General features: G+C 45.6%; 1 long non-coding RNA gene across 1 annotated transcript, besides 5 other annotated features; it reads left to right on the forward strand.

The window, feature by feature from the left end:
* Window positions 773-1,067: an enhancer, noted in NCBI's record as "tiled region #2149; HepG2 Activating DNase matched - State 4:PromP". NCBI's record gives its function as "activates a minimal TATA promoter and a strong SV40 promoter by Sharpr-MPRA in HepG2 cells {active_cell/tissue: HepG2}" and the evidence as "EXISTENCE:reporter gene assay evidence [ECO:0000049][PMID:27701403]".
* Window positions 1,034-15,011, forward strand: LOC124904259 (uncharacterized). The gene is made up of 2 exons (XR_007066304.1): window positions 1,034-1,136; window positions 14,596-15,011. It is a non-coding gene; the product is annotated as an uncharacterized LOC124904259 (long non-coding RNA).
* Window positions 3,887-4,059: a silencer, noted in NCBI's record as "fragment chr18:19667623-19667795 (GRCh37/hg19 assembly coordinates)". NCBI's record gives its function as "represses an EF-1alpha promoter that drives an FKBP-Casp9 reporter gene in an ReSE screen in phorbol 12-myristate 13-acetate-treated (for megakaryocytic differentiation) K562 erythroleukemia cells {active_cell/tissue: K562(+PMA)}" and the evidence as "EXISTENCE:reporter gene assay evidence [ECO:0000049][PMID:32094911]".
* Window positions 13,224-13,433: a silencer, noted in NCBI's record as "fragment chr18:19676960-19677169 (GRCh37/hg19 assembly coordinates)". NCBI's record gives its function as "represses an EF-1alpha promoter that drives an FKBP-Casp9 reporter gene in an ReSE screen in phorbol 12-myristate 13-acetate-treated (for megakaryocytic differentiation) K562 erythroleukemia cells {active_cell/tissue: K562(+PMA)}" and the evidence as "EXISTENCE:reporter gene assay evidence [ECO:0000049][PMID:32094911]".
* Window positions 19,516-20,095: an enhancer, noted in NCBI's record as "OCT4-NANOG hESC enhancer chr18:19683252-19683831 (GRCh37/hg19 assembly coordinates)". NCBI's record gives its function as "activates a minimal SCP1, AML or CMV promoter by ChIP-STARR-seq in naive H9 embryonic stem cells {active_cell/tissue: H9 hESC(naive)}" and the evidence as "EXISTENCE:reporter gene assay evidence [ECO:0000049][PMID:30033119]".
* Window positions 25,273-26,182: an enhancer, noted in NCBI's record as "H3K4me1 hESC enhancer chr18:19689009-19689918 (GRCh37/hg19 assembly coordinates)". NCBI's record gives its function as "activates a minimal SCP1, AML or CMV promoter by ChIP-STARR-seq in primed H9 embryonic stem cells {active_cell/tissue: H9 hESC(primed)}" and the evidence as "EXISTENCE:reporter gene assay evidence [ECO:0000049][PMID:30033119]".

Genomic DNA, 26,722 nt, shown 5'->3' on the forward strand with positions numbered 1-26,722 from the left:
GGGATTACAGGCGTAAGCCACTGCGCCCGGTCAGCACTTGCCTTTCACATCAATCATTTTTAATGAAGCAGTCATTGAGCCCATCCTATGAGTGGGTGCCAGAGTAGTACTAGACATGCAGTCCCCACTCTCAAGGAACTTCCGGTTAACTAATATGACAAATAGAATTGGATAACTTAATCAAAGTGTGCTGACCAGTGCTGGCCTCACGGGGACTAGACCTTCATCTTCATCAGAGGCACATTGGGAAAAAACCAATGCATGAAAGTCATGTTGGATGTTGTGGCCATTGATAAAGTACAGTTAGCATTAGGTACAGTGCAGGTGAAAAATAATGGTTGGTCTAGCCATTCAGTGCCTAGTTGTGTTATATCCTTTGTGTATCTCAAAGCATTTTTTGTGCAGGGGAGAAAAAGACTCAGAGCTTTCAAATCAAAGAACTTGGCATCTCAGACAGTTTCCCAATGTCTCCCCTTGGTTATGAAGACAACTTCTTGTCTCCTGAGTCCTTCTCTGTTAACAATCTTCAAGAAATTGTCTAAACGAGTTGCCTGGGATGTGGGCGTGATGGCTTGGGGGGGTATGTGAGTTTATGTCCTCCTAAATGGACTGCCCTTGACAAGAGATGCATTGTGTGACACCAGCAGCTAAACTTGTAAAACGTGTTCGAAGCTCAAAATGTATCATGTTTTACCTGAGAAAATAAGCGATGGTATGACATGTGTTGGAGAAGGCACCCTGCTGCCTCTGCAAAATAGTACAGTGGAGAGCGAATTCTGTCCATGCCTTGCCAGCTTTCAGGAGGGAGATGCAGGCAGGGGGTTCTTTGTTTGCTCAGCACCTCACGCCAGGCCATGCCCGTGACAGCCCAAAACGCAACTGTGAATAGAAAGTCTATCACAAGGGTTCTCAAATACGAAAGTCGAGTTGGAACAAAGAGCAGGCACCAGCCAGTCTTCCTCTGTTAAAGATTATCCAACGCGTCACCTGGGTGCCAACGTTCCCATAAATCCCAGCAGCTATAAGCAGCTCTGTCTCACCTAGTGTAACTGAATGGCGTTGAAACCCTGCCGGGGACCTCGTGGCATTCCATGAAACGACCTCATCACAGGGGAATGAACTTTATCTTGAAGGCTGTAAGTGTGTTTGCTTGAAAGATGATTTACCACGCTCAACAATGACCAAATTTCCTAAATTAAACCTGATCCTCATGTTATAACTCTGAATTTCACAATCTCATCAAGAGGAATAGATCAGCTAGGGAAGTGTAAATCTCTCTGGGATGGCCTTTCAGTGAATCGGAAGGCTGATTCCCAGTTGGGCAGAAGCAAAGGCAGGAGGGTTTCACACTGGGGACAAGCAGAAAGCAGTGCCTGTCAGAGTAACAGGTTGAGGGAAGCTCCCTCCCAAACTCTGCTCCATCTTCCTCCCTCTAGGTCCTAATTTTTTGTCTGTTTTTCTTTTAGGAAGTGAGGCTTTCAAGGGTTCATGATTTGTGATAGAGAACATTAGCACCCCTTTCTCCCCCTTCTTTTTTTCTCACTTTGTTGCCCAGGCTGGAGTGTAGTGGCACGATCTTGGCTCACTGCAACCTCTGCCTCCCAGGTTCAAGCAATTCTCCTGCCTCAGCCTCCCAAGTAGCTGAGACTACAGGCACGCACCACCACACCCAGCTAATTTTTGTATTTTTAGTAGAGATGGGGTTTCATCATGTTGGCCAGGCTGGTCTTGAACTCCTGACCTCATGAACCACCTGCCTCGGCCTCCCAAAGTGCTGGGATTACAGATGTGAGCCACCATGCCCAGCCCCTCTTCTCCCTTTTCTAGGCCAGTAGGAGAAGCCACTCACTGTGGGCAGCAACTGCACGGACCTCTTAGAGTGGCCAGAGCCCTCCCCAGCTCCGTCTTCCTTACTCTCTTTGCTCAGTCCCCAGTGGCTTCCAAACATACAGCCTGGTTCTGAGAGGAGAACGGCCCACATCCCTTGCTGAAATTTCTCCCCTTTGCTCTAATTTCTCCAGGGCACTTACAATCCTGTTAAAGGATAGGGACTAATCCATGGAAACCATTTGGGAACACATAGAAGACAATAGAGTTCAAAAGAGGTCAGGAGGCAGGGTGCGACATATTCTGAAAGACTGTACAGAAGGTAATCTTTGAGACTCCAGCAGTGAGTATGGCTTGGACAGGTAAAGAGAAGGCATTTTAGATGAGGGACATGTCATGCCGTAGATAGATGGCAGGTACACGCTAGTTTTCTAGACCTCGATCTTTTGTGCTGTTTTGTTGAAACTTGTGCCAGAGCTGCGTGGTTTAAAAGTAAGGGTTGGGCACGGTGGCTCACTCCAATAATTCCAGCACTTTGGGAGGCCGAGGCCGGCAGATCACTTGAGTCCAGGAGTTTGAAACCAGCCTAGCCAACATAGTGGAACCCTGTCTTTACTAAAAATACAAAAAATTAGCCGGATCTGGTGGTGCATGCCTGTAATTCCAGCTACTCGAGAGGCTGAGAGAGGAGAATCGCTTGAACCTGGGAGGTGGAGGTTGCAGTGAGCCAAGATTGCACCACTGCACTCCAGCCTGGGTAACAGAGGGAGACTCTGTCTCGAAAAAATTTATATTTATATAATAAAATAAAAGGCCAGGTGCAGTGGCTCACGACTGTAATCCCAGCACTATGGAGGCGGGTGGATCACTTGAAGTTGGGAGTTTGAGACCAGCCTGACCAATGTGGAGAAACCCCATCTCTACTAAAAATATAAAATTAGCTGGGCGTGGTGGCGCATGCCTATAATCCCAGCTACTCTGGAGGCTGAGGCAGGAGAATCACTTGAATCCGGGAGGTGGAGGTTGCAGTGAGCTGAGATCGTGCCACTGCACTCCAGCCTGGGCAACAAGAGCAAAACTCCATCTCTAAATAAATAAATAAATAAATAGAAATAAAAGTAGTATCAGGCCAGGTGTGATGGCTCATGCCTGTAATTCCAACACTTTGGGAGGCCAAGGTGGGAGGATTGCTTGAGGCCGGGAGTTTGAGACCAGCCTGAGCAACATAGGGAGACCTCATCTCTACAAAATCAGCTGGGCATGGTGGTGCGCACCTGCTGTCCCAGCTACTCAGGAGGCTCAGGCAGGAAGATCCTTGAGCCCAGGAGTTTGAGGCTGCAGTGAGCTATGATTATGCCACTGCACACCAGCCTGGGCAACACAGCTGGACCCTGCCTCAAAAAATAAAAGCGAAGAAGAAGAAAAGTAGAATCAAAGCCCCGTGCTTCTGGAATTGGGCAGCTGGTCTCAGGGAGAAGCTGGATCTGAGGACCACAGAGGTGTCTTCCAGCTCTAGAACCTTCAACATGCATAGCCATGAGTGTGATTGGACCCTGGGTGCCCTATGGACTTTCTACTGACCTGAGGTCACTTACCTTTCTTAGCTGATGAGGCTGTTTGTTACAGAGGACAGCAAGGATTTCAGAGTCAGACACAGCTGGGAGGAAATTCTGACTGTACTCTTACAAGTTTGGGCTATCTTGGATACGTGACCAACTTAAACGCTTTGCAAAATCAGAATAATGATGCCCTTTTTCCAGAGTTAATTTGCGGGAAAATATGAGGTAATATATAAAATTCCAGGGCCTCCATAAATGCTGGTTTCCTTTTTTCTTCCCATTTCACTCTTCTGGAGGGATTTTTTTCCTTCTCTAAACCTTTACTTCGCCTAGCTGGCACTTCCTTTCTCACTTCCCCCCCCCCCCACCCCAAATTGTCCCTGGTCTCCGTCTGAAGGGCCCGAGTGTGTGTACGGAAAGATTAAGCTGCCCTTTTTATAAAGGAGAAATGTATTCAAAATGGGGCACATCAAAAGTAAATGTAGGTGACAAATGTTTATATTTGGAAAGTGTTTCTGCTTTGATCCTGGTTTCTATTTTTTTGAGAGTTTGACAAATGTGCCCTCTGGGCCTTGGCGTCAAACATCTTCAGTCAGCAGAGCACTTTACTTGACGGGAAACTCATTTGATCCTGTACTTGCTGCTCCCCACAATCTGGGAGAGTCGAAGTCACAGAATAGAACTCCCCTTGTCTTCCTGTCGTGCAGCCCAGAGCCATTGTGGCTGGGCCAGGGATGGGCCATGCCTGCTTCTCTGAAGTCTTGCTCTTGGGACTGCAAAGCCAGAGACTGATGGAGGCCATCCCTGGCTCCTTTCTCTGAAGTATACTTGGCCATCACGAGTGGTTCCCTGACATCCTCTGCCTCCCTGCCTCCTCCATGAGCTCACATTGAGCTTTTTCTGAACAACCTCTGACCCAGCCACTTTTGAAGATGCCAAAGGTGATTTCCCAAGGGGAACTTCAGGGGTGGTTGCGTGGCATTGAATGCTGAGGAAAGTCTCCATACAGTCAGCTGATTTTTCCAGGGTTTCTTGCCAAGTGTTGCCCAATCCTTGCAGGCAGGTTATAAAGAGGCTCCATGTGTGCGGTGGCTCAGCGTGGCAAGGGTGTGCCACAGCCTCGTGTTGTTTTCAACACTCCAGTCAGGAGGACGTGTGGCCGGCTGCACTGCTGATTTTCGCTGGGAGGTCTCCTTATTCACAAAGTGGTTTCTTTCAGTCCAGACTGATTTCTTCCTACTTTTGGACCTGTGACCTGAAAACAGGAAAGAAGGCTACTGGGATAGTATCCACTATTTCTGCCGGGGTCACTGTCCAACCAAGTAAAACAGGACCCACTCTGAGTATTTCCAACAGAGGGACTGCTGCCATGCCAGGAACTGGTTATGTGGGGGAAGGGATGGTTGAGAAGCCAAATGGGACAGTGAGACAACAGAGAGGTTGGCTGCCGTAGGAAGCCACTGCCACGCAGGCTGGAGGGACAGAGGAGGAGGTTGTACTACTTGGGTGTAGGCACTGGGGTCACCTAGCAGAGGCTGGGACCGCCGTGGGTCCATCTCTCAGGAGCTTGAGCCCTGGACAAGATGCATCCTCTACAGTGGTGATGGAGCGGGGAGAAAGGTTCCTCCTTTTCCTCCCTATCTCCCACCATTGGGCATTGCTAAATCTGGACAGAAGCCATTGATACAAGTCCTGGGAAACAGCCTGCAGGGGCGGCCACTGACTCCCCAAACAGCAAGGAACGGTGAGGAGGTTTTTTGGTCCCCCTGCTGCTTAGAAGTCTGCTCTGGGACTTCTTCCTTCTCTGAAAACCAGAAAGCAGTAGTAGGAGGGGAGAAGGCTGGGATTCTGCAAAGAAAATGGCATAAATGGCCTATGCACAGCACAGTCAGAGCTACCCTCCCGTGTGGGGGTGCCTGGCAGGCCCCGCTGTTCCCACAGCACCGCTCATCCCTAAATGACTCTGCGGCTCTCTCACCAGTAGCTGTGGCCTACTGCTCCTTTCTCTGAAATGCTGGCATAAGCAGGTGGCATTTCCAAGAATGCTCTGGGCTGGGATTAGCAGGCTATAAATTCCCTCAGGGGTCATGGAGAAATGTGCCTCTTACATGTCTCAGTAACTAAGAGCCTCCCTTGTTTGGCTCCGTATGGTACATGCTAGGTTGTGGTGATGCTGTGGGTATGAGAACATGGCTGATTCTGGAAATCTCCAGCTTAGTCCACAACTCTTACATGATTGCTCTTATGCGGCTTTACAGACACTGCCTTCTTATCTCTATGCGTCTTGTGAGAATATATTTTTTGACAATTGGAGGTTGCTAAGCAACTCTCTGGAAATGTGGGCCTGCAGATTTTATGCTTCTGGGTCACCTTGGGAAAGATGTGCCGCTGCTGTGGGCCTCGGTTCTCTCTGACAGACGGAAGAGTTATAGAAGCTTTCATTTCTTCACGTGAAAAACGGGTTGTGGCAATGTAAAATGGGACCAGAGATTTCAAAATATTTTGTAAATTGCTCATGCTTTTTTAAAAAATTTGAGATGGGGTCTCACTATGTTGCCCAGGCTGGTCTTCAATTCCTGGGTTCAAGCAATCCTCCCACCTCAGCCTCTCAAAGTGCTGGTTAAAAGCCAATGAATAAATTAATGAATGAACGCATAAAATATCTGCCCTCAGGAAATAGTCTAGAGGGGGCAGCAGATATGTAGATAGATAAAAGCAGAATAAGGCTCCAGGTCTCATCCCATCTCCTAATCCTTATGCCGGGCTAGGCCCTTGACACACGTGCTAGGTCCATATGGCATCTGATTGAATGGGTGCATTAATGATTCCCATTCTTTCTTGCAAGCAGCTTTGCAACCACTCTTCTATTGATCTTGTGATGGCCTTGAATTGTGGGTAAGTAGACAGAAGGTAGGTTTTTGCGTGAAGAGACAGAGACCTTACTAAGCTAAATGGATTGCCCAATTCACAGCAAATTGAGAGGGAGCCAGGCTGCAGGCTCGGACTCCTCATCTTGACCAGAGCCATTGTCTTTGGTTAAATAACCAAAGTAACAAATGTTGGCTATAAACTCTCCTAATATATTTGGTTAATTATGTAAGTTGCCAACTAAGAGTAGCATCAAAAGTATTTGACACTTTACTGTTAACCTCTCTTAAGAACTCATTTTTGGAAATAAGATGTTAAAACCCTCAGTGGCTAGAGAGAAGAAAAACCAGCTGATATGCAATCTGTGCTTAGGTATTAAAGCTTCTCTTAGCACCTGCCCCCTCTCCACTTTTCTTTTTTTGATGAACAACACTTAAATACCAGTAGCAATATGTCCAGGATTAATAAGTCAATTTTCTATGATAAAAGAAGCATTAAAAAAAAAAAACCTGGAAGATAGTTTGAGCAAATAGAAGTGTTAACTTCATGAGGAAAGAGGTCAGTGGTAGTTCTAGGTCTCTACTAGGGGAACTAGTACATCCTTGTTATAAGGAAAAGCAGAAGGAGAATCAAGTTGTGACTGTGCAGCCACAAGGCCAGAGCTTATAAAAAAAGCAGAGGAAGCAGAATAAACCAGGTGTCCTAGGTCTTAGAAAAGTGTGCTGGTGGCAAGAGAGAGAGAAAAGAAAAGAATAAAAATCTACTGTCTCTGTAATTTTTTTTTTTTTTTGAGACGGAGTCTCGCTCTGTTGCCCAGGCTGGAATGCAGTGGCGTGATCTCGGCTCACCGCAACCTCCGTCTCCTGGGTCCAAGCGATTCTCCTGTCTCAGCCTCCTGAGTAGCTGGAATTATACTCATGTGCCACCACACCCAACTAATTTTTGTATCTTTAGTAGAGATGGGGTTTCGTCATGTTGGTCAGGCTGGTCTTAACATTTTTTTTTTAAAAGGCTGGGCACAGTGGCTCATGCCTGTAATCCCGGCACTTTGAGAGGCTGAGGCAGGAGGGTCATTTGAGGCCAGGAGTCTGAGAACAGCCTGGGCAACATAGTGAGATCCTATCTATATAAGTAATACTACTAATATATAAATTATCTATAATATCATATATAACATATAACATGTAATATAAGATATGATATATATCTCATATAATATATGTTATATATGAACTTGCCAACCAGGTTGTGTGTGTTTGTGCACTGGCATGTGGATGGGGGGGCTAGACAGTGCTGTGGGGATATGGGAAGCCTCTTTAGGCTCAGTCATTCTTTGTTCAGGGGACTTCATATAATGAGGTCATCATCACTGTACTTTCTGAGATTCTCATACAGGCTGGAGAAGGTTTCAAGGGATGAGGCTTCCTTTTCAATCAGGAGTATGACAGCTTTGATGGGCACGACTCTATACAACCATATTATTATATGTTATATTTTAATATTATTTAAGATATATATTATGCTATATTATATGTCTTATAATATATAAAACATATTATGTTAATATTGTATATTATTATATTATATATGGAAATTTTTTTGTTTGTTTCGTAGTAGAAAAGTAAGTGGCAATAGGAAGACCCATACATATGAATGACTCAGAATTTTGGACAATAATCAGGAAGCATCCCCATGTCTGGTAGACAATGGATAACCAGTTGCCTAGAACAGCTGAGTTGTTCATTTGCTCACCAGCAGTAGCAGGCTGTTCTACCTCGTCCTGGAAATGATTCCAAGGGGAGTCAGCAGCCTTGTGGCCGTGGGGACCTCATCACTGTTTGCCTTTTTATTATCAGGTAACATTAAGGCCCCCATTTTACAACTGGTTCTGGTTCTCAGATCTAATAGCTGTGCTTTTTGTGGAAAAAAAAATTTTTTTTAACATCTTTTTTTGTGGGAGGGGCTGCGAAATGAACTTTCAAAATGGGGATTGTAATACAGAAAGGCCGAGAAGCTTTGCTCTGTGGTTTTGAAGGTAAACCTTTCACTTCTGCCCTTAAGTCTGCTCTTTTTCTTTTCTCTCAGAAGTTCTGCTGCCTGAGAACTAGTCAGATGGGTCAATACCCAACACTCGAGCATAAGAGACACAGGTTTGCAAAGAGGATTCTTCATGGTGGTCAAAGGAGAGAAGGCTTGATATTTTCTCTGCTTTATCAACTTGAGCTGTGTCTGGAATGGATGTGAACACTTTTCTCAGTGGGGTTGGGCTCGGGGAAAACTAACTCTTCCCCATGCTCCGGCCCCAGGAATGCTAGCAGGGAAAGACTAAGGACAACATGGTTCCCATGAAATGAAGCTCAGCTCTAAGCTGGTATTTTACAACTAAAACCTATTTCCATTCTAACTTTGTATCGCTTCTCAAAAGTCCTAAGGGCTGTTGATGCCTCTTTGTGTGTTTCTGCGTTGAAATGTGGATGGGGGGCTAGCTGGTGCTGGGGTGGGGAACAGGAAGCCTCTTTAGGCTGGTCATTCTTGGTTCAGGGGACTTCGTATAATGAGGTCACCATCACTCTACTTTCTGAGATTCTCGTACAGGCTGGAGAAGGCTTCAAGGGATGAGGCCTCCTTTTCAATCAAGAGTATGACAGCTGTGATGGGCATGACTCTATACAACCTTTCTTTGACGCACTTGAGCTTTTGTAATAATCCCTTTAGACCAAACCACCAGCAATATGGTAGACTGACTTATACACAGGTCGACACCACTGATTTTTATCCTGGACAGCTTATGATGGAATCTTATGTTCCAGAATTAAAACTTAAAAATAAAAGTTCATCACATTCTTCCAACCTACTGAGGAAAACTGGCTTCTTTTCTGGAGTTATTTAAAAATTTTCTTTGATCTTATTTTGTGTCTGGAGATATGAAGTATTGTGTGTGAAATTCAGTTCTTCACCCCTTCGCACCCTCCCACCACCCACAAGACGGAGTCTTGCTCTGTCACCCAGGCTGGAGTGCAGTGGCATGATCTTGGCTCACTGCAACCTCCGCCTCCTGGATTCAAGCAATTCTCCTGTCTCAGCCTCCCGACTAGCTGGGATTACAGGCGTGCATCACCATGTCTGGCTAATTTTTGTATTTTTAGTAGAGATGAGGTTTCACCATGTTGGCCAGGCTGGTCTTGAACTCCTGGACTCAAGTGATCCACCCACCTTGGCCTCCCAAAGTGCTGGGATTACAGGCGTGAGCCACCAGACTCGGTCTGAAATTCAGTTCCAATGAAAGATGCTATCCAGTTAAAAAAGGGGAAGATAATGTTAGAAATCCTCTCACTTGTATAGTTATTTTTGGCGAAGTCCTTTTGAACTTTCTAGCCTTCCAAAAAACCAACACCACAAGAAGAAAACAGCTAGGAACCTCTTGTTTCTTGACATTTAAGCCCGTTGTCTCTTTGGTGGTAATTCGTGTTGAAATTTAATAGTGTGATTTGGATCCCTGGCTTTTCTGTGAGTTTCATGCATACCAGGAATGGGGCTATGGAAACCCATGTACTGAGACACAATTGTAGACAAGTTGGGTTGGATAAGCTTTGGTGCAGAAAGTCCTGGTTAAAAAAAGCAAACAACAAAAAATCCTAGAGATTTAAATTCTCTTTTTTTCATGGAATGGTGTGGGTGTATGGGTGGGAAAAAGGTATAATAGTGGGGAATGGGTGGGTATCTAATGAGTAAGTTTAATTTGACCTTTGGTAATTTATTAACTTGTTATTGGGTTGAAGTTCTAAGCTGAGATCTAAGAGTCTTCTTCAATAATATGCATGATTTGGGGGCGGGTGAGGTGGGAGCTCCATTAGTCATCCGATTCAGTTATCAAGAAAGCTCAGAATTGGGCAGGGAACAGCATGGGGCTCTGTATGTAAGTGTCTTCTGCTATCTGTCCGCCTGACATTTGGACTTTCTATTGTTCTCCTTGTGAGATTACACCTTTTCGCCCACCCCAGATCACTTTTAAGTTTCTCTGTTCTCAAATTCCTCTGGAAATGAGGTTCCCGGAGGGACAAGCAGGCAGCTACGATGTCTGGATAGCTTGCCTCCACGTTCTCCACACCAGAAGGTGGTGGAGATAAGAGCAGTGGCCACCCACCCAGCCCTGCCTTGTGGAGCCGGCCAGACTTTGTTGGCTGGGGGGACAGCTGGCCGGTGTCTGACAAGAACAATAAGGAAGAGGTAGATCAATCGGGTCGTGCAAGCTCTGACCTGCAGAACTCTTTACCGATTGCTCAATTCTTCCCTTTCTTCCACTCCAAGGGACAAAAAGTTTAGGCTTTTCCTCACAATATTCCCCTCCAGTGGGTCTCTACCCCCAGGTCCCCTTTATACAGCTGTGGAGTCTCCATGAAGACCCAGAGAGATGTTCCCTCTGGTTTCCAAGTTTATGACTTTTCTAGGGACTGCCTCCCTTGTAGAGACTGCCTCCCTTGTTGACAAGTCTAATACCCATGCTGGGTGGAGGCGAGGGGCAAAGATAACAGGGCCAGAGAGAATCCCCCAGAGCCCTTGGAAACAGCAGCTCGCAGCTCAGTGAAGGAGGGAGTTGTTAGCAAAAGCAAGGCCTTGTGAAGGCTCTGGGGTGGTTGCCAGATGGAAGGTGCAATGTTCAAAAGGGATTTCATCCTTAAGCAAAAAGCGTTTAGCAGCCGTCTGACTGATCATTTGGAGGAGGGGGAGATATTATGCCAATTAAGTCAAGACAGTAGCATCTTGTTCCCCTTGCAGTGAGCCCTGATAAAATTGCCTGTCCAGGGGAAGGAAAGCATTTCATTATTTCACCTTTGAAAAAGGATAATCCTTTCTGTATTTCCTCTCTGGGGGAGGGCGTCCTTTGTTCTTTTGCCTCTGACCCATAGCTACTTCTCACATTCAGCTTTGGGGTAAAGAACTTGGAATTTTTTTCAAGTGCGTGATTAAATGACTGAGTTATTAGACAAGGGAGGACCAATCTCAGGGATTCTGTAATTAATAAAACCAGGAGTGATACCATGGGGACCTCACAGGATCCTCATTCCAGGCTGGGGTTGTGAATACACTGGAAGTTCCCCTCTGTCCCTGAGGGATTCCTGGGTGGGCCCCTCAGCAGTGACTCTTTTTTTTTTTTTTTTTTTTTTGAGACAGAACCTCGTTCTCTCACCCAGGCTGGAAGTGCAATGGCACAATCCTGGCTCGTTGCAACTTCCGCCCCCACCCCAGGTTCAAGCGATTCTCCTGCCTCAGCCTCCCAGTTAGGTGGGATTACAAGTGTGCACCACCACCACGCCTGGCTTATTTTTGTGTTTTTAGTAAAGATGGGGTTTTACCATGTTGGCCAGGCTGGTCTCGAACTCCTGACCTCAGGTGATCTGCCTGCCTCAGCCTCCCAAAGTGCTGGAATTACAGGTGTGAAACACCGCGCCTGGCCTCAGCACTGACTCTTGCTCAGCATTGACTCATGGGCAGATATGAAACTCTGGAGAAGACCTTTTAGATTCAGAAGGACACCAGCTACCACTCCAATGCTCTTACTGCAGGATAGAAAGTAGTCAGGGAAGTCATTGCTTTCCAGAATCACTAAACTTGGAAACTGGGAAGGATCTCAAAGCTCATCAAGCCCAGTGTCTCCGTTTTACAGCTGAGGAAGCTGAGGCTGGAGCCGCCTGAGTGACTTTCCCGAGGTGGAACCACGAGTCAGCTGAATGAGTCTAATACGCCCCGCAGCACAGCAGGGTACATTCCCCATATGTGGCAGGCTCCACTGGCCAGGCACAGTGGCTCACGCCTGTAATCCCAATACTTTGGGAGGCTGAGGTGGGAAGATCTCTTGAGCCCAGGAGTTTGGTACCCACTTGGACAACATAGTGAGACCCCTTCTCAGAAGAAACAAAAGTGTTATAGGGCCCAGGAATGTTAGAAAACAAAAGGGAAAGAGGCCGGGCGCAGTGGCTCATGCCTGTAATCCCAGCACTTTGGGAGGCCAAGGTGGGTGGGTCGCTTGAGATCAGGAGTTCGAGACCAGCCGGGCAACATGGTGAAACCCTGTCTCTACTAAAAATCCTAAAATTAGCTGGGTGTGGTGGTGCATGCCTATAATCCCAGCTACTTGGGAGGCTGAGGCAGGAGAATTGCTTGAACCTGGGAGGTGGAGGTTGCAGTGAGCAAAGATTGTGCCACTGCACTCCAGCCTGGGTGACAGAGAGAGATTCTGTCTCAAAAAAGTAAATCAATAAAAGGGAGAGTTAGAAAACCTGCCTCACATAGTTCCTCAAGTCATTGTGTTCTCAGCCTGGTCAGGAAGTTCCAAGCATCCTTTTACCAGTCTTCAAAGTTGTTTTAATCATGAACCATCTTTCACTGAGGAATGAAAGCCTTCCTTGTACCAGTGAAGAATGCTATTTTACTATCCTCCTCCTCTGGGGTGATCTTTTCTTTCAGGTAAAATTCAAGGACCTCGCCTTTTCTTAGAAGGGTCAATGATGAAGAGTGTCTTTTCCCAACTTTGGTTATCACCTTGCTATGGTCTCACTTCCGAAGGAGTGGTAGAATCAGGCTTCAGGATTCTCTGCTGGCCACCGGTTCTCCTCTCATCATTCTGGGCACTGGGGGGCAGGTGACCCAAAAGGAAAAATGGAAACTGGTTCTCATCCCACTGTAGAGGGAAAATTTTCTGGGAACAGACTGGGCGTATTTTGCCTACTATTGATATTTTAATGGGAGCAACAGCTTTCCTGAGGACCTGACCATAGGCATCAGTGTCAACTAACACTGTGGTGTGAGTGTCCAGAAAGGTTAGTTTTTGTTTGTTTGTTTGTTTGTTTTGAGATGGAGTCTCACTCTGTTGCCCAGGCTGGAGTACAGTGGTGCAATCATAGCTCATTGTAGCTTTGAACTCCCGGACTCGAGTGATCCTCCCACCTCAACTTCCCAAGTAGCTGGGACTACAGGCATGTGCCATCATACTCGGCTAATTTTTGTATTTTTTGCAGAGACAAGGTCACTCAACGTAGCCCAGGCTGGTCTCAAGCTCCTGGGCTCAAGTGATCCTCCTACTTCGGACTCCTAAAGTGCTAGAACTATAGATGTGAGCCACCGTGCCCAGCCAAGGTTGATTTTTGAATATGCAATTGATTGGGAGGCTTAATAATACTAGTGAGGGTGCAGTGTGTGCATGTGTGTGTGTGTGTGTGTGTGTGTTTAGTGCAGAGTAGGGAGGAGGATACTGGCCTGGCCCTCGACTAAATCTTTTGGGCAGGACATTTATTGGAAATGTTATGGGATGCGTGTGGAGCTTATAGAATTACCTGTCTAATAGCGGAAGTTCTTTGAGCTGGCAAGCCTCAGAAATCAAGTCCCTAGGGCTGCCCCACTCAGCCCTCAGTACTTTAGTCACAGCATGCTTGCTGCCCACGATTTGGAGAATATTTTGAGCCCTCCTAGAGTATTGATCTACTTCTCATGATTCTGTCTGGCAGTGCACACTTATGCATTTCCTTGTCCCGGGGTCCTTCTCCTCTGTTTCTGAAATGAAAGGGGGACAGGGGTTGTTAGGCCATGAAGACTTCCCCATCTTTTATTCTTTACAGTTCTCTCTCATCCAAAAATGATAAAATATCAGAGATCCAAATTTTACTTTTATTTGGAGTTAAAATAATTTTGATACTTTTGATATTAAGAGGATAGTAAAGAATAAAAGATGGAGAAGGCTTCTTCCTCCAAATTCCCAGATCCCCTTTTACCTCAGAAGCAGAGCAGAGGGACCCCAAGATAGGGAAATGGGTGAGTACACACTGGCACTGCCAGGCAGAATCACAGAGCTGGAGGGAACACGTGCGTGACTGTCCATTCATCATCCTAGCCTTGACCTCTTCATTCCTCAGACTTCTCCAGAAAGGAAAACAGCAGTGGTGGGAAGGGCTGAGGGGAGGTCAGGGGGCAGTTAGGGAAGGGGTGATGAGGGCTATTTCTTGGACACTCCTAGCACAGGCAGTGGCAAGAGCACCAAATCGCTCTGAAGTATGGACTGAGCTGTTACCATTCATTAGAGGCCTGTGTGAGGATCCAAATAGCCTAACTGGAGTTGATTGACTCTCCTGACAGGTATAACCACTCCAATTTTCTTTCTTTTCGTTCTTTCTTGAGAGTCGGGGTCTCATTCTGTCACCCAGGCTGGAATGCAGTGGTGTGATCATAGCTCACTGCAGCCTCAAATTCCTGGGCTCAAGCAATCCTCCCACGTCAGCCTCCTGAGTAGCTGGGACTACAGGCACATGCCACCATGCTTGGCTAATTTATTTTGTTTTATTTTTTACAGAGATGAGAATCTGTCTATGTTGCCCAGGCTGGTCTCCAACTCCTGACTTCAAGCAATCCTCCTGCCTCAGCCTCCCAAAGTGCTGGGATTACAGGCATGAGCCACAGTGCCCAGCCCCACTCCCATTTTCTGAATCTTTCAGAATTTCAGATTGCCTTAAACTGCCCAAAAAAGCTGCTATAAAACCTCAACATATCGCTGCTGCACAAAACCACCCAAACCATCTTCAGACCTCTGCCCTCTGGCATGTGAGTGGCCTGCATTTCAGGAGGTGAAAGATCAGACCTTTGTTATTTGTTAAAGCACTCAGCAACCCAGAACTAAACATGCACGCCGATGTTGATTTGAGAACTAAAGGATATCTTTCAAGTCCAATAAATGTGATAAAAATAAACAACATCCTTTCATAAATTTCATGGAGCATGGCTCTGTGTTTATCTTGTGTCATGTACTTGAGATTACCCCATTGGGGGAAGAAAACACTTGATGAATGCAGGGAGTCTATTTTGTAATCTGCAGTGGTTGGAAAATATTTTCCTACTTCCTACCATGCCCTTTTTTGGCTTCTCTAAGGAAGTTATTAATGGTGCACTTTACAGTATTAGAATGCAGCAGCTTCTAATGAGAAATCCAAAAGATTCCTAGGTTGCAGCCACCCTCCTATGTGGTAGCTGCTTATAAAACGATTCCATGTTCTTTTTTCTTCTACCCAGTGGCTGAAGAGTTTTACTTGGGGTATTATGATATCTGAGAATAACAACAACAGTAGTAATAACAAAAACAATAATACTAATAATACTAACCAATGCGTCTAACACATATCGAAGTGCTAGACAAAGCACTTTTTAAAACTTTATTTTTTTAAGACAGAGTCTCACTCTGGAGTGCAGTGGCATCATCTCAGCTCACTGCAACCTCTGCCTCCTGGATTCAAGCAATTCTCCTGCCTCAGCCTCCTGAGTAGCTGGTATTACAGGCGTGTGCCACCACGCCTGGCTAATTTTTGCATTTTTAGTAGAGATGGGGTTTCACCATGTTGGCCAGGCTGGTCTCAAACTCCTGGCCTCAAGTGATCCGCCTGCCTCGGCCTCTCAAAGGGCTGGGGTTACAGGCATGAGCCACTGCACCTGGCCTTTATAAACTTATTTAGCCACACAATCTTATGAGGTAGGAACCGTTGTCATTCTCATTTTACTCATCAGAACCTGAGACTCTGAGGTTGTGTCTTGTTACAGGTCATACAGCTGATAAACAGTGGAAGATGGGATTTAAGCAGTTCTTACTCCCTTGATTGAATGAATACATCAGCTGTGACTCAGTTGTGAAGCACATCCATCTTATTCATTTATCTGTTGAGCTTGAATATAAAATGTAATAGAGCATCTACTGGAACTGGGTATTGTTCTAAGCACTGGAGATGCTGGGACAAAGCAGACAAAACCCCTACCCTGGTGGAGCTTACAGTCTAGTGAGGTCTAGTGTGATGAAATCTAAACTCAACAAAACAAAGATCAACTAAATACCAACTGAATGGTGGAGATGATATGGCGAAAAATAAAGAAATGAACATAGAGGATATGAGAGCAGGGGCTGCAATTTTAAATATGGCAGTCTGAGGAGGCTTCATTAAGAAGGTGAGATTCCAAGAAAGAGCTGAAGGAGGTGAGGGAGTGAGCCATATGGCTACCTGGGGGCAGAACCATCCAGGGCAGATAGAACATGCAAAGGCCCTGGGGTAGGGCTATGCTTGGCATATTGGAGGAACCATGAGGAGACCAGTGTGGCTGCAGAAGGACCGAGCAAGGAGGAGCACAACAGATGAGGGGAGAGAGGCTGGAGGGTACAGAGCCTTTTCTTGCAGGCCTTGTAGAGGCTGCACCTTTTCTCAGGATGGGGTCGGGGGATTGGAGGGTTTTGAGCAGAGAAGTGACATGATCTGACCTAACTTTTATTTATTTATTTATTCATTTATTTATTTTTCTGAGATGGAGTTTCACTCTAGTTGCTCAGGCTGGAGTGCAATGGCACGATCTCTGCTCACTGCAACCTCCACCTCCTGGGTTCAAGCCATTCTCCTGCCTCAGCCTCGCTAGTAACTGGGATTACAGGAGTGCACCACCATGCCTGGCTAATTTTTGTATTTTTACTAGAGACGGGGTTTTGCCATGTTGTCCAGGTTGGTCTCGAACTCCTGACCTCAGGTGATCCGCCTTGGCCTCCCAAAGTGCTGGGATTACAGGCGTGAGCCACCGCGCCCGGCCTAACCTAAGTTTTAAAAGGATCACTCTGGCTGCTGTGTGGAGATGGACACCAGAGGGACAGAGTAGAAGCCAGGAGCCCAGTTAGGAGACTTGCAGAAAACCAGGTAGGAGGTAGTGGTGGCTTTGACCAGATCAGGAACGCTGCAAGGGATGAGGAGTAGTTGGGTTCAGAAAATAAATAGAAGCAAACTCGAATTTGCTGATGGATTTGTGAGGTGTGAGATGGAGAGAGGCGTTACAATGTCTCTGAGGTTTTCATTTTAGGTGAATCCAGGACAGGGGTTATTAGGAATGACTTAAAATCAAACTAGGAATGTATTTTACTGAGGAAAAGATCATAGAGGCTTGAGAAGGGAAAAGTGGAGAGAGAGCACCCACACTTCTATTTCTAATCAGTCTGAAAAATGAGGTTTTAGGAAATTCTCAACACAATGAAAAGATAAATGTTTGAGGTGATGGATAGATGGATATACCAGTTGCCTTAATATGTTCATTATGCATTGTATGCAGGTATCAAAATATCACATGTGCCCCCCATGTGCTTTTTTTTTTTTTTTTTGAGACAGAGCCCAGAGCTTCACTCTTTCGCCAGGCTGGCGTGCAGTGGTGTCATCACAGCTCACTGCAGCCTTGACTTCCCAGACTCAGGTGATCCTCCCACCTCAGCCTCCCAAGTAGCTGGGACCACAAATGTGTGCCACTACACTCAGCTAATTTTTTGTAGAGAGGGAGTTTCACCATGTTACCCAGGATGGTCTCAAACTCCTGGGTTCAAGTAGCTGGCCCGCCTTGGCCTCCCAAAGTGCTGGGATTACAGGAGTGAACCACTGTGCCCAGCCAGTACAACTCTTATATGTCAATTTTTAAAAAAAGAAATGAAAATTGAGGCTTCCATGAGCAACTTTTAACTTTTACCCATGCAGCCAGCTCCCTGACAAGCAGGAGCTCCTGAAGGGGCATGTCCAACAGTATACATGGTGGATGCAAAGGAACAAAAGTTTATCCTGCATGGTAGAACATTCTACAAAAATAAGGTATTTTTCTAGTCTGTTTTCTACTGGAGAAAATCTTTTCTAACCTAGCCTGAGGGAAGAACACTTGTCATAAACCATCATTTTGCAGGAACCTACAATTGTGACCGAATGGGGACAGGCCAGTTAGTGGATTATGGAGGTGAATATTCCAAGGGTGAGGGTGGATCCTGAGATATGCAAAGTCTGGCTTCTAATGCAGATATGCTTATCAGACCGGAATCCTGCAGGTTCCGAGAGGAAGTAGAAATAAGGGATAAGGAAGAGTTAGTGGTCTCTGAACGGAGACAGGAGGTGGGGGGGTATTGTTGTCTACCCTGGGAGGCCTAATCTAAGGGCCACTGATGACACTACAGATGAAGACTGCAAAAAACCAAGGCCTGGGGTGAGGGAGGGAGGGCCAGCATCCCCATGGACCAAGGTCATTTGGGGATTAGAAAATGAAATCATTATAGGATTTCCAGGAAATGCTCTTCTTCTGTCCGCACTCCCACCCTCACCTACCAAGGTGCGCTAGACTGTCATATTGTTGTTAAAATAAATTAACCTCTTTGAGGGTATTGGAAGAATTCATTCCTTGACACTTTGTTGGGATAATTGCAAAACTCCTCTGGGGTTTGGAAATCTCTGGGAAGACCAGTGGTCTTGGGTATAATGATAAAAAGAACATATCTTTACAGAATGCTTGTTATAGACCAGGCTCCGGGACAGGCAGCGGAAGTGCACTTTACAATGTAATCCTCACACAATCTCAGGAGACAAGTACCATTATTATCCATATTTTGCAAATAAAGAAATAGAGAACCAGGCACAGTGGCATGCCCCTGTAGTCCCAGCTACTTGGGAGGCTGAAGTGGGAGGATCGATTAAGCCCAGAAGTTTGAGGCTGCAGTCAGCTATGATCATGTTACTGCACATCAGCCTGGATGACAGAGTGAGACTCTATCTCTAAAACAAACAAACAAATACATAAATATGTACATAAAATAGTTTTTTTAAAAAAGAAGAAGACAACTTGAAGAAACAAGTAATTTGCCCAATCTCACCGAGCCAGTGACAGGCAGATCTGAGTGCCTGACCTCCATGCAGTTGACTCTATAACCTGTCCTCTCAGCCAGTGTGGAGTCCAGGCAGGGGACACATAAAAGAGGGACCAAAGGGCTTTTTGGGAAGGAAGCATTTCTTTGTCCTACATTCTCAGAATTGAGCCACAAAAGGCTGAAGGCCAGTTAATGTTGATTTCAAATTAAGGACTCATTCGTTTTCTCAACCTCTCACTTACAAAGAAACACCTACATTCTTCCTTCTTGAAGTTATTTGATTTTCACATTATACTTTAAGGGATATCCGCTATTTACCCAATGCTTTCCTGTTCAGTCTTTTCAGACTACGAATCTTGTATATTTTATATACACAAAGGTGACTTTTCCTTCCTTTAATGACCAGTGCTTATCAGCTCAAGCAACTGATACTGAGCTCATAAATATGTCACTCTGAGTTCAGTCCCAGCCCTTCTCCTTTTTAAGAGGAATTTTTGCATGGCAATTTTTCTCCCCCACTCTTTTCCTAACCCTGTGCAGATTGCACTTGTGCCCCAGAAACACCCTTGGGCTATGTTTTGGTTTTACTCCCCCTTGGCAAATATAAATAAGTGACGGACTGGTGCTTACACACCAAAATCATTTCAGCAGAAGCCTGTAGACAATATAAAACCAGGCCCGTGGAGCCAGCGCCTTCCGATTCCAATTAAATATTTCCTGTAAGTCAGTGCCAATTGTGCATCTTGTAAGAACATTTGAAAGCAGAAGTTTGAACTCACAGGGACCCCGTTGCCTTAAAAACCTGTTTCCTGTTTGACAAGACTTTACTAGTAGGAGCTAAGAAGCATATTCAGCAACTAAAGTCATTGTTAGTGGCTCAGATGTGCAAAGGTGGTGGTTTCCTTTCTTGAGTGCCCATCATTACAGCCTCTTTCAGTTGTAGATTTCTCTCTTCCAGATAGTCTCTCTGAACATTAGAACTCTTTTGCTAAGGGCCCTAATGACATTTCCAGGGTTACAGGAAATATTTGCTTATCTCCCTATCAGTAGATCCCCCCCTCCCTGCCACCCCACCCCCGCCGTGCGGTCTTGTGAAGTTGCAAAATCTCTTTGAGACAACCCTTGTAGGTATTATGTCCATCTTGCAGATGAGGAAACTGAGGCTCAGGGTCCACATCTTCTTCAGCTTTGTCTAGAGCACAGTAGATTGTTAGCGACCAGGTGTTTAAGGGTCTGCTCTGCCTCTTGTGTCATGACTTTGCACAAGTTACTGAAACAAGTGCTTGTCTCAGTGATCCGATCCATAAACTGGGGCAAATGTCGGCAGGAAATGGGCATCATAGATACGAAATACCCTTAAGTTGGTCATAAGAAGGGCATTATATTGTAATAACATTGGTGTGCCTTGAGGACAGTATGTGAGGTGACTTAGGCCAGACACAGAAAGACAAATACCGTATGATCTCACTTGTAGGTAGAATCCAAAAACGTGCAACTCATAGAAGCAGAGTAGAATGGTGGTTGCCATGGGCTGTGGGGATGGAAAAATGGGGAAATGTTGGTCAAAGGGCACAAAGTTTCAGCTAAGCAAGATGAATAAGTAATGGAGATCTAAGATACAATACAGTGACTATAGGTAGAAGACTGGATTATATGCCTGAAATTTTCTGAGAGAGTAGTAGATCTTAAATGTTCTCACCACAAAAAATAAAAATAAAAAGCATGTGAGGTGAAGGATATGTTAGCTTGATTGCGGTGATCATTTCACAATGTGTATGTGTATTGAAACGTCACACTGTACACCTTAAATATACAGTTGTCCCTTGCTTTCTATGGGGGATTTTTTCCAGGACCCTCCAACCCCCACCAAAGATACCAAAATCCACAGATGCTCAAGTCCGTGATATAAAATGGTATAGTCATTGCATATACAATGCACATCCTCCCGTGTACTTTATTTTATTTTATTTTATTTTATTTTTTTTGAGACTGAGTCTCACTCTGTCACCCAGGCTGGAGTACAGTGGCGCGATCTTGGCTCACTGCAACCTCCATCTCCCAGGTTCAAGTGATTCTCCTGCCTCAGTCTCCAGAGTAGCTGGGATTACAGGAGCCTGCCACCAGGCCCAGCTAATTTTTGTATATTTTGGGAGAGATGGAGTTTCACCATGTTGGCCAGGCTGGTCCTCCCGTATACTTTACATCATCTCTAGATTACTTGTAATGCCCAATACAATGTAAGAGCTGTGTAAATAGTAGTTATACTGTATTGTTTAGGGAATCATGACAAAAAAAACAGTCTGTACGTGTTCAATATAAACATAAATGTTTTTCCAAAAGTTTTTGACCTATGGTTGGTTGAATCTATGACTGTGGAACCCATGGATACAGAGGGCCTACTATATACAATATTTATTTTTATTATTTAATGTACTCTATACTTCAATGGATGCAAGACTGTATAAATTTTTTTTTTTTTTTTTTGAGACAGGGTCTCACTCTGTCACGCAGGCTGGAGTGCAGTGGCGTGATCTTGGTGCACTGCAACCTCCACCTTCCAGGTTCAAAGCCTCCCAAGTAGCTGGGACTATAGGTGCACTCTACCATGCCCAGCTAATTTTTGTATTTTTTGTAGAGATGGGGTTTCACCATATTGGCTAGGCTGGTCTTGAACTTCTGGGCCCAAGTGATCCACCAGCTTCAGTCTCCCGAAGTGTTGGGATTACAGGTGTGAGCCACTGTGCCCAGCCAATTGTATACAATTTTTTTAAAAAAGTTTTTGAGATAAGGTCTTCTACTGTCACCCAGGCTGGAGTGCAGTGGTGCAATAATAGCTCACTGCAGCCTCAAATTCCTAGGCTCAAGCAATCCTCCCACCTCCGCCTCCCAAACAGCTAGGAGTACAGGTGCGTGCCACCATGCCTGGCTAATTTTTAATTTTTTTGTAGAGATGGGGTCTTGTTATGTTGCCCAGGCAGGTCTTGAACTCCTGACCTCATGCAATCCTCCCACCTTGGCTTTCCAAAGCACGGAGATTATAGGCGTGAACCACTGCACCTGGTCCTGTATGCAATTTTCATTTGCCAATTACACTTCAATAAGACCAAAAAAAATAAAGGCACTATATAATATTATTATTATAGTTTCATTATCATCATTTAAAAAATAACAGTGGACAACAATCTTAGGACTAAAACTCAAAGTACTCTGTGATCTGGCCCTAGTCTGTCAGGCTTTTTTCCAGCCATGACTCCCTCCTTCCACTCTCCCCTTTCACATACACAAACACACACACACACTCACACATCTTTGAACCTTCTTCTCTGGATTTTTGTCTACATGATCCCTTCTATCTGGGGCACTCAATTCTCCCTACTTGGTCGCTCTGCTTCCATGTGGCCATTTCAGCTCCCTTGGGGATTAGGCTGGTGCAGTAAAGAGTGTTGGCGTCAAAACCAGAAAGGCCTTCATTCGAAGCCTAGTGTACTATCAGTGTGATTTAGCTAAGTTATCTCACCTCTCTGGGCCTTAGGGTGCTCATCTCTAAAGTAGGTTAACACTCTTTTTTTGAGATGGGGTCCTGCTATGTTGCCCAGGCTGGTCTTGAACTCCTTGGGCTTAAGCAATACTCCTGCCTCAGCCTTCCAAAGTGCTGGGTTACAGGTATCAGCCCCCATGCCCGGCCAACATTCTCTATCTCACCATATTATGAAGACCAAATGAGCTACCCCCGGCCCAGCATGGGTACAGAATAAACCTGCGTTCCTGCTTCCCATTCCCTCAAATAAAATTCATCTTGTGCTCTTTTGCACCATCAATGTATTTGCTTGTATCTCTACTATAACATCTGCCAAATTCCAGCTTGTCTTGTTGTCCCTTGTATATGTCTCTGCTGCCCGCATGAAGCTGTGAGCTGAGAGCCAGGAAAACACCTGATTTATGTTTGTATCCACCACTGTCATTGCCTCATAGTAAGCCTTCAGTGTTTTGATAGAACTCCAGGAATGTTATCAGCTGGCTCTCCTGGATCTGATTACCTTGTGGGCTGGGCTGGTGTTTAATACTCACTGGCTAATTTGTAGAGTCTTGGAAGCTGAGCCATAGACGGGCTAAGTGAGTCAGCAATGAGGTGCTGTCATTCCAGAAGTCACCCTGCAGCTCAGCCTCCAAACTGCCTTCTTTTACCTTGCCAGCTTTGCCCAAATCTAATGAAGTATACTTTTGCATAACCATGTGACTATAATTTTATAAAGCAAGATTTAAGCATTCACTTAACAAACATAATATGAATATTGTTGGTATTATGGATACTGATGCTAATGGATAGGTACTACATTCTAGGCAGTATGCTAGGCCCTTCTGCGTATAATATTAATCTCATGAAAATGCTGACGGGTAGTATTTTTTCCCATTTTACAGAAAAGTGGTGCTTAAACTGTCCTTTCAATATCCAATGCTAGATTCTAGAGGTATTAGCAAACACCAAGCTCTTGGTTGTTAAGATCACAACATATTGGCAGGGACAGATGGGCAAACAAATCATTAAATGCATCATGAGACACATATGCTGATTAAAAAGTGGAGTCAAAGAGGGGAGAATAGGCCAGGAGCAGTGGCTTACGCCTGTAATCCTGGCACTTTGGGAGGCCAGGGCAGACGGATCACCTGAGTTCAGGAGTTCGAGACCAGCCTGGCCAACATGGTGAAATCTCCATTAAAAATACAAAAATTAGCCGGGCATAGTGACACATGCCTGTAGTCCCAGCTACTTGGGAGGCTGAGGCACAAAAATCACTTGAATCTGGGAGGTGGAGGTTGCAGTGAGCTGAGATCACGCCACTGCACTCTAGCCTGGGCGACAGAGAGAGATCCTGTCTCAAAAAAAAAAAAAAAAAAAAAAGAGGAGAATAATGAACATGGTTAAGCATGATAAATTATTAATAGGAAAAGAGGTATTAATAATATTTGAACAGAATCCTAAGGGATAAGAGGTCAGAGGACAGATAAAGGAGAAGGCAATTCTAGGAATGAGATGATGGTTCTCAAGATTATGGAGGAAAGAACAGGGCCTGCTTCAGTTGTGGTAGAAAGAGGAGTCAAAACTTAGGCTGGGGCAGGACCATGTGCTATGCCAAAGAGCGTGGCCTTTTTCTGTGGGCAGTGGGGAGCCATTGAGAGTTCTACACAGGGAAATTACTCTGGACAATGAAGATGCCCTGAGCCTGTTAGTTATAAAGCTATTTCAACATTAAGAGTTACTCTAATAAAAATATGAATGGATTATCATCAACATCCCAGGACATTAACAAAATTAAGCTTCTTCTATTTCAATGCTTATTTTCTTCTTTGGATAAAGTTAGGAGGAAACATGCTGTGTATCCAAATACTTCCTTTCTGGGGCAAAGGATTTCAGAGAAAGTTCACTGTGTGGAATGTTTTGACCCATAGTATGGTAATAGTTAATCTTTTGAATGACTGTTTCTTTCTTTTTTAAAATTTTTAAACTCTTTAAAAATTTTTTTGGATTTTTTTTAGAGACAGGGCCTTGCTGTGTTGTCCAGGCTGGAGTACAGTGGCATGATCACAGCTCACTGCAGCCTCCATCTCCCAGGCTTAAACGATTTTGCCTTAGCCTCCTGAATAGCTGAGACTACAGGCATGCACTACCACCACACCTGGCTAATTTTTTTGTAGGGGGTGGGGAGGTCTCACTATATCACCCAGGCTGGTCTCGAACTCTTGAGCTGAAGTGATCCTCCTGCCTTGGCCTCCCAAAATGCTGGGATTACAGGTGTGAGCCACCATGCCCAGCCTATATATTTTTAAAATGGGAGCAGGGAGGAGTATGTAGGGTGCTGGGGAAAGATAATCCAGAAACTTTAATTGAGCCCATTTCCAAAGATTTTCCTTGTGCTGGCTGGCCTAACTCCTACCCAAGCCAAGTCCTGGGCTGCAGAAGACCCTGGTGTCCATGGCTCCAGCACCTTTCTTTGAGGCCATGTGGAGAGAAAGCTGGGGGGTAGGGGGTTCCTGCCTCTACCATTCCCCTGTGGCTGTCTCACATGATGAACCCTGCGCAAGTGTCCTTGAACAGCTTTTCTTTTAAAACAAACATCTAATTCCCTGGAAATGCCCTTAATAAAGTGAGCTCACCAACAGATGGTGCTGCTGGGACTGACCCTCACACAAACATCCTCCTTGCTACCTGGAAGGCCTGGCTCCTCCCGATGTTCCCTGCCAGGCATAGAACATGCCTTCAGTTTTTAAGCTATGGAGATCCTGCCCATCTGTGTCTTCTTGTGGCAGGCCTAGGAGGGAAGTCACCATCTGTAGGGTATTAGGGCAGGAGCTCCCTGGGAAGGGGAATTTTCCAGAGTCACATTGGCAGGCTTGCTCCTCCTCGTGGCCCCCTTCAAGCCCCAGTTTCCCCATGTGTGGCCTGAACAAAGCTTCAAAAAGTTCTAGAGGTTTCTTCTGAGGATACCAGACATTGGCTCTGGGTCTGTGGAGCTTCCAGAATCTTGGGGTTCTGCCCCTTGGCTTGTGGTCAAGAACTCGCCTATCTTATGGGTAAGTGGGATCTGATGCAGGCCTGATGTTTTTTTGAGACGGACTCTCACTCTGTCGCCCAGGCTGGAGTGCAGTGGTGCAATCTTGGCCCACTGCAACCTCCGCCTCTTGGGTTCAAGCTATTTTCCTGGCTCAGCCTTTCCAGTGCTGGGATTACAGGCACGCGCCACCACACCCGGCTAATTTTTGTATTTTTAGCAGAGACAGGATTTTACCGTTTGGCTAGGCTGGTCTTGAACTCCTGACCTCAAGTGATCTGCTCGCCTCAGGGTCCCAAAATGCTGGGATTAGCCCTGCCATGAGGAAGGCCTTTGAGGCGACTGACCACTGTGCTGGACATTGCCCCAGGGCACGTGGTCCCACCCTGGGGAGATGGGAGTAGGGCTCACTTGGAGGCGGTAAGGAGCAGTCCTGCTGCTGGCCTGCTCCTTCACATGTCTGCCTGTCTTTGGAGGCATCTCACTTCCTCCTGAAACGGAAAGAATGAAAACTCCCCAGGGGCTGAGGCAAGAGCACCTCTGGCTTCACCCAGATACTTCATCTTCCTCAATTCACTTTGCCTTTTGTCAGCCACCATTACAATCAGGAATTACCTATAGAGAGGAAGGAAGAGTAAAGGTGCAAGTCTGCCATCACCTTAGGCTCTAGCTGCTGAAGTAAGAACAGAGATGGGTCATAGAAGCCTGGGTCCGGTTCCACACTTTGGATGGAGGGAGCTGGAGTGGGTGAGAGAAGGGTGTCAGCGTCCACAGGCAGAGTGGGAATCCTGACTTTTCTACTAACGAGCCCTGCAGCCTTGGTAAGTTCCTTGAGCTCTCTGAGCCTCAGTTTCCTTATCTGTACAGTGAGAATGACAGCATTTTCCTCACTGATGTGTAGTAAAGATTAAAGGCAATGGTGGGTGGATCATTTGAGGTCAGGAGTTCGAGACCAACCTGGCCAATGTGGCAATACCCCGTTTCTACTAAAAATACAAAACTTAGCCGGGCACGATGTTGCATGCCTGTAATCCCAACTACTCGGGAGGCTGAGGCACGGAAATTTCTTGAGCCTGGGAGGCGGAGGTTGCAGTGAGCCGAGATTGCCCCACTGCACTCCAGCCTGGCAGCAGAGTGAGACTCCATCTCAAAAATAAATAAATAAATAAACAAACAAAATAAAGGCAAAGGTGGGTGTAAAGCCTCTGGTATATTCCTTCTGTCTCTGGTCCTGGCTCCAGGAAAAC

The sequence above is a fragment of the Homo sapiens genome, chromosome 18 (assembly GCF_000001405.40).
Source record: "Homo sapiens chromosome 18, GRCh38.p14 Primary Assembly".
NCBI classification, from domain to species: domain Eukaryota; kingdom Metazoa; phylum Chordata; class Mammalia; order Primates; family Hominidae; genus Homo; species Homo sapiens.